Source organism: Homo sapiens, chromosome 8 (genome assembly GCF_000001405.40).
Source record: "Homo sapiens chromosome 8, GRCh38.p14 Primary Assembly".
In the NCBI taxonomy this organism is placed as follows: Eukaryota; Metazoa; Chordata; class Mammalia; order Primates; family Hominidae; genus Homo; species Homo sapiens.
This window is the reverse complement of record NC_000008.11, coordinates 58,166,625-58,179,696: the sequence shown is the minus strand read 5'-3', so window position 1 is coordinate 58,179,696 and position 13,072 is coordinate 58,166,625. Positions and strand designations below refer to the sequence as shown.

The window sequence follows — 13,072 nt, the reverse complement described above, 5'->3', positions numbered from 1 at the left end:
CCCACTGTGCCCATGACTGATTTCCCTCACCAATATTCATAGATTTTCCCTCATCCTGCTCCATATGTATGTAAGTCTGACTCTCCTCACTCTCTTCTGTGGAACATACGCTTTTGATTTTCTCCAGAAGCTATGTTCCTTATCTATGGGTTGCTTCTCCTTCTGAAAATAAAGTCTTCTCCTTTCCTTCCTCGTGGATCTCACAGTCTTTTGTTAACACAGGGGTACAAGATGTGGTATCTTGACCTTTATCATAAGAGGGATAATCTGGCTTGTCCAGACCCTTAAAATTTTACAATGCAGCAGGCCACTCCTGCTTTACAAGGTTTATCTGCTACTCTCTGACTCCCTGTGTGTCACTAGGGCACCCAGATTACTTGCCACTTCTTGTTTACCAGGTTCAATCAGCACAGTGTTATCAATATAGGGACCAGTGTGATGCGCTGAAGAAAGTCAGAGCATCAAGGTCCCTGGAAGCTTCATTTTAAAAGCATTACATGGGTCAAACAACAACTTTTGACATTTGCTTCTTATAATTGTATGTCTTTCTTTTCACCTGACATTATTTCATAAGTATTTTCTCCTGTCATTAAATATTCCTTTAAAAGTATTTTTAAATGGTTCTATAATATTCCATCATATTATTATGATATTTATTATTCTCTGCTTATTTGGATATTTGCATTTTTAAATGTTTGCTATTATAAATAATTTTATGATAAGTGTGCATATAACTGTTTTCATCTTTGTTTCCCTAAAATACATTCCTGGACATGAAATTACTTAACTAGAGTATAAAGATGTTTAGGGTTTTGGATTCATACTGACAAATTGTTCTTAAGAAATGGAGTACTGATTTATATCCAACCAACTGTGTTTTAGAGGGCTCATTCCCCACACTCTGGCCAGCACTGATATTGGTATATTTTTAACTTTTGCCAATTTTAATGTTAAAATTTCTCTTTATTATTATTCTAATACCTGTTTATTCTCTCTCTCTCTTTTTTTAAGATGGAGTCTCACTCTGTCAGCCAGGCTGGAGTGCAGTGGCGTGATCTCAGCTCACTGCAACATCCGCCTCCCAGGTTCAAGCAATTCCCCTGCCTCAGCCTCCTGAGTAGCTGGGCTTACAGGCACATGCCACCACGCCCTGTTAATTTTTTGTATTTTTAGTAGAGTCGGGGTTTCACGAAGTTGGCCAGGCTGGCCTTGAACTCCTGACCTCAAGTGATCTGCTTGACTTGGCCTCCCAAAGTGCTGGGTTTACAAGCATGAGCCACTGTGCCCAGCCTCTGTTTATTGTTATATAAAGTTGAACATTTTCATTGTGCTTTTAAGACATACCTATTTCCTATTTTTTCCAAAGTCTGCAGAGAAGTAGCTAGCATAATCCCTTTTTATATGATTCCATAATTCTATAGGTATTAAATCCTTCTCATCCTTATCTTGGCACCATCCCCTAAACAATCTAAGACTCTAAGCTGTTACCATATTTTCAGTGGAAATGAGAATTGCTCCCTTGACAAAAGTCAAGATACTCATTCAAGAACTAGTCTGAAAAATCTTCCATTGTCCTTATCCTGTAAGACGAGTCCCTGAACCATTAGCCTTTTTTACTTATTGCTATATGTCCAGTTTGACAGGTCTTGTCTGACTTGAGGTCCCTAGGAAGATCATGACATAAGCATTCTGGAGATGTGAAATTTGGGAACAGATAGGAGATAACACCAGTGGTTTTCATTCGGGGATCCAGAACTTGAATGTATATGCAGACTTAATGCTCAACGAACCAAATGTTAACTTTTTTTTTTTTTGAGACAGTTTCTTGCTCTATCGCCAGGCTGGACTGCAGTGGCTCGATCTTGGCTCACTGCAACTTCCGCCTCCCGGGTTCAAGCCACTGCCTCAGCCTCCCAAGTAGCTGGGACTACAGGCTCGTGCCTCCATGCCCAGCTAATTTTTGTATTTTTAGTAGAGACGGGGTTTCACCATGTTGGCCAGGATGGTCATGATTTCTTGACCTTATGATCCGCCCGCCTTGGCCTCCCAAAGTCCTGGGATTACAGGGGTGAGCCACCGTGCCTGGCCTTAACGATTTCCTTATTCTTCTCTAAACTGTCTCCAAGTTTATACTGTTTCTTTTCAATTACAAAAACGAAAATGGAATGGTGCCACATGCAACAACATGGATGAATCTCACATAGTGTTGAATGAAAGATGCTAGTCAAAAAAACATACATACTACATTTATAGTCATGCATTGCTTAGCCATGGGGTAAGTTCTGAGAAATGTGACATGAGGTGATTTCATCATTATGTGAATATCAGAATGTGTCTTTACACAAATCTAGATGGTGTAGCCTACTACACACCTAGGTTATATGGTCCAGCCTACTCTTCCTCAGCTACACTTCTGTATAGCATGCTACTATACTGAATACTGTAGGCAATTGTAACACCATAGTAAATATTTGTGTATCTACCATCTCACACCAGTTAGAATGGCAATCATTAAAAAGTCAGGAAACAACAGGTGCTGGAGAGGATGTGGAGAAACAGGAACACTTTTACACGTTGGTGGGACTGTAAACTAGTTCAACCATTGTGGAAGTCAGTGTGGCGATTCCTCAGGGATCTAGAACTAGAAATACCATTTGACCCAGCCATCCCATTACTGGGTATATACCCAAAGGACTATAAATCATGCTGCTATAAAGACCCATGCACACGTATGTTTATTGCGGCACTATTCACAATAGCAAAGACTTGGAACCAACCCAAATGTCCAACAATGATAGACTGGATTAAGAAAATGTGGCACATATACACCATGGAATACTATGCAGCCATAAAAAATGATGAGTTCATGTCCTTTGTAGGGACATGGATGAAATTGGAAATCATCATTCTCAGTAAACTATCGCAAGGACAAAAAACCAAACACCGCATGTTCTCACTCATAGGTGGGAATTGAACAATGAGAACACACGGACACAGGAAGGGGAACATCACACCCTGGGGACTGTTGTGGGGTGGGGGGAGGGGGGAGGGATGGCATTAGGAGATATACCCAATGCTAAATGACGAGTTAATGGGTGCAGCACACCAGCATGGCACATGTATACATATGTAACTAACCTGCACATTGTGCACATGTACCCTCAAACTTAAAGTGTAATAATAATAAAATTAAAAAAAATTTGTGTATCTAAATATATCTAAACATAGAAAAAGAACAGTAAAAATATCATATCACTTTCTTATAAGACCACCATCAATTTTTTTGGTCCCTCATTGACCAAAATGTTGTTAGGCAGTGCATGACAGTACGTGATGTTCCATTGACATGTGGTTCCAGAGCAGGCAAAACTAATCTATAGTAATAGAAATAAAAATAGTGGTTATCTGACTGGGAATATTGGCTAGACGGAGTGTGAGGAAGCCTTCTGGAATACTGGAAATGTCATCTGAGCTGGCAGAGGGGCAGAGTTCATTCATGCTACACATATATTAAGGCTCATCAAGTAAGACTGGTGCACTTTACTGTATATATGATGTTCCTCAATAGAAACTTAATTAAAAAGAAAGGCCGTGCTCTAATATGAGTCTTCTGTTAAGTGAATATCAAATAATTTTATATTTTGATTTTTTTACTAGAGTCTTTAGGAGTCACAGGGATAAAGGCTTACATAGTAAAATATTTTGTAAATTATTTTGAATAAAACCAAATATATTACAGTAAGTCTAATATATATTAGATCAAATATATATTAAATCAAATATATATTCATAACATATATATATATATTTGTCAATTTCTTAGATTAACACCAGTCGTTCTTAATGTGGGCATGCCAGAGAAATGCCATTTAATATTAATTATTCTAGATGCTAATATAATTAACAACATCTGTAAGTTTACTAAATAATTTATTAAGTAAGCTGCCTCAAGACAGTAAGCAAAACTGAGAATCTTCATATCTCTGTAATTATAACTACCTAATTTATGTTTTTTAAGAACTCTGTATTTTTAAAACATTCTCATCTACCACATATGTAGTTTCCTCCTACCTTTCAAAAAACATAATGAAAGTATTTTGTTTGCATCTTATTTATTTTGCCAAACAAGAAAATGTTGTGAACTCTTTTGTTAGAAAAGGAATTCCAGCCAACGTTAATACAGCTGCCACACCAAAAAAGCAACTCACTTAAAATATAAGAAATATTTTAAAGGAATCATTTTGAAACTGATTTGTTTTTCACACAAAGCTCCAAAGACCAGATTTCTGATTATAGTTTCCAGGCTTAGATGTAACCAACACATCAAAATATCTCATACTTTTTATGGAAATGTAGACTATTATTACATATTCTTCTTGGAATTCTTCCTATGAGAAAATCTCACAAGCCATTTGGGAAGACTTGTTTTTTTTCCCCACTAAATATTTGAAAATTGCGAATTTTAAAATGCTTACAAGGGGACCTATTAGGAGGTATTTAAGTATGTCGAGTATTAAGTAAGCCAGTGGGAAATTGTTCCAAGATTACCTTTATCCCTTTTGCATGTCCAAATACAGATCTTTTCCTCTACTGCCCTTATTAAATTCCAAACTGATTTATAAATGTAAAGGAATTCTGGATAACCTTTTCAGAGATTTTTGGAAAATGGAAAAGAATTCTAAAGTTCACCTAAAATAATACATGCTCAAGAAGTGAAGAACATTTGGATAAAAGAAGTGTAAGGTAGAAGCTTGCCCTATGAAATTGCAATTACCAGCCACCATTAATTGAGGACTTACTGTGGTCACCTGGCTGCTGAACTGTCAGCAGCAGTGGCCAATGTGAGTTCCAATTAAGTATCACATTTTGGGTTGACAGCCAGTCACAGACTGGTGTGTCTCTCGTGGAGGAGAAGCAATTTGAGCCCTGTGGAGTATACACAGTTATTCTGTATTTAATGCAGCTTTTCATGCCCTGATTCATGGTATGTGTTCTGGGCACTGTTCTGGGCATTGGCAATAGAGTAATGGATGAGGTGGATAAGATCGCTGCTCCACTGAAGCTTAAATTCTGTTGGGAGAGAGAAACAATAATTGAGTGAATCAATGAGTAATATAATCTTTTTAGAGATAAATGCTATGAACAATGCAATACAAAATGGTGTGCAGATATGAAGGTTAGGGAAGATTCCTACTGGAGTTAACATTTCAGCTGAAAGCTAAACGATAAGAAAGTGTCAGATATGAGAGAATCTGGCAAAGAGGATTTCAGAAATAATAAACAGTCAGTGTGAGCACAGAAGTAGGCGTGAGTTTGGTGTAGTCAAAGAATGAAGATGTCCATGAGAAGGAGTGTGGGAAGGATGGACGATATGTTATGAGATCAAAGATATAGAAATGCACCAGAACACCTAGAATATAATGTAAAGAAGAAATTAGAAAGGATAAATTGTAAGCCATTGGAAAGTTTTCTTTTTTTTCTTTTTTTGAGACAGGGTCTCACTCTGTCGCCCAGGATGGAATGCACTGATGCGATCTCGGCTCACTGCAACCTCCGCCTCCCAGGCTCAAGCAATTCTCCTGCCTCAGCCCCCTGAGTAGCTGGGACTACAGGTGTGTGCCATCACACCCAGCTAGTTTTTGTTTTTTGTTTTTAGTAGAGACAGGTTTTGCCATGCTGACCAGATTGGTCTCAAACTCTTGGCTTCAAGTGATCCACCCGCCTCAGCCTCCCGAATTGCTGGGATTACAGGCACGAGCCTCTGCTCCCGGCCCATTGGAAAGTTTTCATTTGTAAGATAGTGTGATCTGAGACAAAAATGAAGCAGAAGGCATGTTAGTCTTCAGGAATGCATCAGAATCACAGGAGGGCTTATTAAAACACAAATTGCTGGCCTCCACCTTCAGAGTTTCTGATTCAATATTTCAGAATTTGTATTTCTTATTATTTCCCAGGTGCTGCAGATGCTGCGGGTCCAGGGATCACACTTTGAGAACCACTAGTCTGGTGCAAGATTCTTGGCAACAGACAATATCTTATACAAGGGTGGTAAGCTGTGCAGGTGAAGGGAAGTAAACAGATTTGTTATACATTTTGAGGGTAAAGCTAATAGAATTTACTTAGCAATGTGATGTGAGAATAGTGAAAAAAAAAAAAGAAAAAAGAAATGGATAGCTCCCTAAATTGGACTTGATTGAAAGGGGAATGGCAGTGCCAATCACTGATATAGGGAAGATGGCAGGGGGATGGTATACGCTGGGAAGTTAAATCAAGAAGTTGGTGTTTGTTGTTGTTGCTTGTTTATTTAATTTTGGTTTTAAGTTAGATGAGTAGAGATAACAAGCAGAGGGTGGGTTTAATATGTCTCCAACTCAGGTGAGACGCTGGAGCCAAAGATACAAATGTGTAAGTCATCAGCATACAAATGAGACTGAATGAGAAAATAGGAAAAATAAAGCAGAGCAGAAAAATGCACTCCAATGCAAGCTCTCCAGCTCTCCACTGTTTTTAGAGTTTGACAGAAGAGTGCAAAGGAAGCTGAGAAACAGCAGCCAGCAGAGCAGGAGGGACACAAGATTGTGGCGTCAGACAATGCAAGCAGGGAGGAAAGTGAGCCCAGGGAGGAAGTGCGCGATGCCAAATGCTGCTGCAAATCGAGGAAGTCGAGAGTTGAGAAATGTCTATGGTATATGGCAATACGAGGGGCGCTGGTCACCCTGACAAGGGTAGTTTCAATGACCAGAAGTGTCAGAAGCTTGACTGTAGCAAATTGAGAAGTGAAAGGGACAGGAGAAAGCAGCCGCAGGGAACGTAGGCCATTGTCAGAAAAGTGTGGTTTTGGACAGACAGAAAAACAAGGCCGTGTAGCTGGAGGAGATATGGGCCCTTCTAGGGGAGGGGCTTGTTTGGTGGTGCTTTGAACTTCAGGGAATCCACATCTGGATTACACAATGCTAGGCATGACCACGTCTCTGCTGCATGGGACGCTAGGGGTCATGGAAACCACCAAGGCCTCAGGCAGTGGGAGAAGTTACCTGGGGGAGGAGCAGGAGTTCAAAGGAGCTGCAGCAGGAGCAGGAGCCCGCCAAGTGTGGCAGCACAGCCTTTCCTGCTTCCCTCAGGGATATAGGCTTGTTCCTCCTGCCCTACCATGAAGTCACTGAATATAACAGAATATTAGCTAATTGCCATTGCCATTGTCAAACTGCAAAGTCAAAGGAATAAATGGATTGGTCAGGAGGTAGAAGAAAAGAGACAATAGACTAGAGAGGAGATAAAGCCAATTAAACTTGTACACATTGATTTTTGGAACTAGTAGGTAAACTTGTTTTAATATAAAATAAGAACATTTGTAGTGTCATAGAGGAAAACAAGGGTCCCTTGTAATGTGTGTTATAAAAACAATCATGGTGGGGGTTTTTTTTTTTTACTTCCATTTTTTTACTTGCATCTTGAGAAGTAAATTATTTTTTAAAAGGCCCTATCACACCTTATTTCTCAACTCTTCCATGATTTGTGATTTCATTAGTTAGTCTGTGTACAGAATATAAGACTCTCATCAAGGTGGTAAGAATTGTGCACTTTAATTTAAAACATTCCAATACTCTATTTGGTATTCAAGATAAACCAAATGGCCTGGGATTCAGGTGTTTTAATAAGTTCCATGTTTTTATACTATTAGCCTTCTGCTTATGAAGCAGACAAATTGAAAATCCATGAATATGTGTATATCAAGTATTCATGGAAATTTAATAGAAATGTATTCCTTAGAAAAGAAGAAAAACATTTAGACCTCTAGATATGCTACAGTACACAAATCTATTGCATTTTGGTGTTAGATTTGGGTCTGTTAAGGGAACATGAATGCTATTTACTTTTAGGTATAACCTATGTATGCTGATGTTTTTCACTCATCTGTTCAAAATACTGTCTATTCTCCTTCTGTGGGAAGCCACTAGGACAAGGCGGGGTGGGGGGGGGGCATTTACAGTTAAATATAATCTTTATTCGTGAGATTTCTCATTCTCTTGCCTTAGATCTTTTTGTCTGTGACTGGTTCAGAGGTTCAGTCTTGATAAGCATGCAGAAGTTTGGATGTTTATTTAAACCCTTTGTATCTAGCAAAAAATCCAGCTAGAATCTTTTGAAAGCAGCCTTTCTTGGAAGTATGCTGGTAACTCTGGCTTTCTTTCATATTGGCAGTTTAGGCAAATTGTCTTTCTCAGGCATTTTTTCACCTCTGCTTTGAGCCCTGGCAGCAAAGGAGAAATGTAGGTACTGAGTAAACATTTATATTTTAAGAGAGAAAAGAAGGACTGTAATTTAAGCATCAGCTTTATGTGAGAATCAGTGGGTGTCCAGGGATGAAGGAATGGCTACATGCATTTCAGATGAAGACACTGATTAATTAAAAAGTACGAGGGATACTAATGCATTTAAGTTGTTAATTTCAGTACTAATAGCTTTAACCCTTTAGATTAAAAAGTATTATCTAGCTCATATATATAACTTTATATTAATCTAATATTTTTGGTATTCAACCATGCAGTTGATATTAGTCCACTATTAGGTATTAGGCACTGGGATGACCATCAGGAACTGATTTATGAAAAATTTGGATAACTATCTTACTCAAGGAGTTCCTCTACAAAGACTCCTTTCTTTACCCTCGCACTGGGTCAGGTACCTTTTTATATGTTCCCATGGCACCAGATTCATTATTCAACAAATATTTATTGAGCATTTTGCTACTAGGTATTGCTTCAAAAAAACCCCAATTACAAGCAGAAACACATGACGCTCTTAGTGTCAGAGCCGGTGAATCAGCTCTGCTGCCTTCATTCCAACAAGTCACATTAATCCAGCAAGTCACATGGCCAAATTCACCATCAATATTATGGGCACACATTCTCCTCCCTTGGAGTCTGGTTGAGGTGGAGGGAGTAAATATCAGCTGCACTATCCTCTGCTTCATCACAAGCACCTACTGTGTGCCAACCATTTGTAAGCCGCTAAAGAGGCATTGAATTCAGTCTTTCTCCCGCTACTGAACAAGCAAGTACAACAAGCCAGATTAAAGGCAACATAGGTAGGGGTTAAGAATTTAGACTATGAAGTCAGGTGATCTGTGAATTCTGGCTTTTCCATGAATTAAAGCTATGATCTTGGACAAGTTCTTTTATCCTCTCGGAGCCCTAATTTATACACATATAAATTGAAAGTGACAATAAGGTACTTAGCCAGAGAGATCTTATGAGGGATTAAACAGATAGTGCATGTAAATTGGTTAATTCAGAGTCTGATATGATGTAAATGCTTGATAAATGGATGCTATCATCATTATCACCAGGCATCCCAAATGGACAAGGAAGAGCAGCCTTGCTTTGGATGTTGTGGGGAGCACCTAGAGTAAGCTCTATCCTAGCCTCTATCTGACTGGGTTACATGAATTGGTTGGCCTGTCTGTCTTCCCAGGTGAACTGTGAACTCCTTAGGAATGATACTCAGCCCTCCTTCCCCAGCTGCAGGAAAATGGCTGGCACTCAAAGCATGCTGAGAATAAACCATCAAAATCCAATTCTACCTCATGCTGTCTTACAGTACTGCTATTGCAACTAGCTGTGGTTGAAGGATCAGTTTGCTGTTTTGTTTGTCATTGTTTTCATTTCCAAGCTGTTGCAGACCAGTATTTTTCATCTCTACCATGTTCAGCAAGACAAATCCACTAATCCTGTGCTTGAATGTTGTAGTCATGTCAAATAGCCATAAAAGTTTCTAAATGTTTACTCATTATCTCCATACTTATCTCTTTATGAACTGGTAACAGTCAATTTGTAGACCAGCACCTGTTCACAGTCCTTCCTTTGAAGAGCTCTGTGTGGATTTTGTGGATTTAACCTCATCATATGTCTGAGTAAAAACTCTTGCCAAGGGAAGCATGCTGATAAGCCGGCATGATCTGCTTATCCTCCATGAGAACCTCCCAGATACCCACAGCCCAGGGGGAACCACCATTTATTTTGTTGATGGTTTTCTCTCAGACCATTTGTCTCTTGCTCTTTTTCCACAGCCTGTGCTTCCAGTAGGAGCACAACAGAAGCTGCTGTGGATGAAAGTGTGTGGGAGTCTTGGGTTGCACCAAGTCCAAGGGAGTCTCTTGCCTGTGGTTCAGGGGACTTCTGAGAATGCATCAAACCTTGGCATCTTTCCAACACAGCACCATGAACCACCAAGGAAGGAGATTGATCTTCATCAGATATGTTATGGGCTGGGTACCATCTCAGAGGCTCCCAGGACTCTCCATAAACTTCTTGATAATCCAGACAAGAGCTACTGCTCAAGTATCAAGTATTTATGGGTCTAAAGTAGCTCACTGCATGACCTAAGTGCATCTTCCCAGCAGTGATGTTAGCATCAGCTCTTCTAAATTAACATGGGTAAGGGGTGTGTCTTAGTCCATTTTGTGTTGCTATAAATAAATATATGAGGCTGAGAATTGTGTAAAGAAAAGTTTACTTGGCTCATGGTTCTGCAGGCTGTACAAGAAGCATGGGGCCAGCATCTGCTTCTGGTGAGGGCTTCAGGAAGCTTCTACTCATGGCAGAAGGCAAAGCGAGCCAGCATCACATGGCAAGAGAGGAAGCAAGAGAGAGGGAGAAGGCACCAGGCTCTTTTTAACAATCAGATCTAATGAGAACTGACAGAGTAAGAACACACTCACCCCTGAGGGAGGGCACTAATCTATTCATGAGGAATCCAACCCCTCAACCTAAACACCTTCCACTAGGTCCCATCTTCAGCATTGAGGATCAAATTTTGACATGAGATTTGAAGGGAACAAATATCCAAACCATATTGGAGTGTGATCCAAAGGCCTTCAAGGAACAGGAGGTTCAGGTCTGAAACAGGGTGTCCAAGGTCCAGCAGAAGGAGAATGTGCTGAGGTTCTTCGAGCTCACTGCGCTTCAAGTATCCACCTCAATGAGAGGTTTACATTTCTGGTGCCATGGCCAGGGCTCTAGTGCTGTCCTAGATGCCTGTATTACTCTTGATAGAAAACATCCCCAATATCCCAAACCTTCTCCAGCCAGTGTCCTTTAAACAAACAAACAGACAACCAAAACAGCCCTTAAAGCATGAAGCTTCTGCTAAAAAATTTCATCATCATTAAGACAAGAGCTTGAACAAGAAAGACAAGGATTTCTAGGCTTAGGCTATCCTCCTCATATTTGCCCTCCACTGGGATCGACCCTCCCTGACAGGCAATGAGACTGAATGACTAGAGGTTCTTTGTATAATCTGCATGTGTCACACCCCTTGTGTTTGCTTGTGGGGCCCTCTACCTTCTATCCTACCTTCTACCAATGCTTTATCCTCCCTGGTTCATGTCCTACATAAAACCTTATGATAATGTGTTGCACGTAGTGGGTCTTCATTAAATGTTTATAGAATGAAGAGAATTAGGCAATACCTCTCTTTTCTCTTCAGGTTCACTGCAGTGTCATTTTGTTGTTTAGTTCAGCCAATTAAGACTTAAGTTTCTAACTCCTAGACGATTTTTATGTAATGAGGGTTTTTTGGGGGATTGAGAGGTGGCTTTGGAAATTATGGTTCAAATAAATGATTAAATACAAGAATGAATAAATGATAGCTTTTGCCCTGTTGTGTATGTGACTGGGTGGGGGGTGGGGAGCTGGGAGTTTTCCTTCACTTGCTGTTACACTAGAAAGGTGTTTTCCTAATGAGATATGATTTCTCCTTTCTTTCTACCTGTGTCAAATCTAAGATATTACAGTCATTTCGCCAAAGCATCTGATTCTGAAAGAAATTGCTTCTCTTAAAACATTCATAGCAAGTTTCCAGATCATACTGAAACTGAATGGTTGCCAAGTCTGTGACAAAAGTCTAGACAGAAAGACTTACTTTCTAGAATCAGAAGCAGTGAGAAGCTTAGAGAGGTGTATTCCAACTTTCATCATTTACAGATACAGAGCCAGGGGTGCCGAGGATCCCTCCCCACTGTTCCATGGCTGGCTGGTTGATAGTGGAGGCAGGCCCGGAACTTGAGTCTGCAGACTCTCTCCCTGTGCTCACCACTGGGCCCACCTCTCATTGGTGGAGTTATTCCACTCACATTTCTTGTATGTTTGAGGCCTTGGGAGAGGCAGCAGGAAGTTGAGGGTACACTTAGGCTGGAGATGGAGGTCCTTGTTAGAAGTCCATTTCTGACACTCTCGCATTGATTGTTGGCTCAGTCACCTGATTTCACTAAATCTGCTTCCTCATTTATAATATGGAAATGAGCCCTTCCTATATCTCAGGGTTTCTATGTCACTGGGGTTGTCATGAGAACCAAGTGAAAGTCTCTCTGCTTTTTCAACATCCCAATTCCCATTCCATGTAGACCCTACATAGGTGATGCACTCTCCTTTTTCATGCCTCACTCCAGCAGTCACATAATGTTGATTTGTACCAACACTGGTGATGTTAACTTTGGTCCATTGGTTATTGTGGTACCCACCTGGTTTCTCCACCATCTTGCACAGCCAAGTCCTTCCTGGGTTTCCTTGCCACATGGAAGGGTCAGTTTCTCCCACTATTTCTCTCTCGAGGTTGCTGCGAGTGTTAAATGTGTACCTTTGCCTAACTCATAAGATCTGGGCACTAAAGGTGGGTTCCCATTATTATTTTATGTGTTTTTTTCTCATATAGTAACCATAAGGGTACTGTTTGTCCCTTTCTAATGAACAAGTTTTTGTGGGGGGATTCTTTGAGGCCATGTGAATATCCTTGTACCTCATCAAACATGCATCCATAAGTTATAGCATCCCAAGTCAATTATTGCTGTGTAGTGGCAAAATGGTGAAATTCTAACCTCATCATTCCTCGCACATCCATTAGTTCCCTAAATCAAACTCTGATGATATGAGGGAATAAGACAAATACTTTGCCTCAAGGAATTAATATGGTTCATTTACTCCTTCAACGAATATTTATGATGAACTCTTCAGCTATGTCTCAGGAACTGTGCTAAAGCACTGAGGGTGCAATGGACAGCAAGACCTCACAGTCT

At 40.1% G+C, this 13,072-nt stretch overlaps 1 annotated feature.

Annotated features, from left to right (window-relative positions):
- Nucleotides 6,667–7,193: an enhancer, noted in NCBI's record as "H3K27ac hESC enhancer chr8:59085063-59085589 (GRCh37/hg19 assembly coordinates)". NCBI's record gives its function as "activates a minimal SCP1, AML or CMV promoter by ChIP-STARR-seq in naive H9 embryonic stem cells {active_cell/tissue: H9 hESC(naive)}" and the evidence as "EXISTENCE:reporter gene assay evidence [ECO:0000049][PMID:30033119]".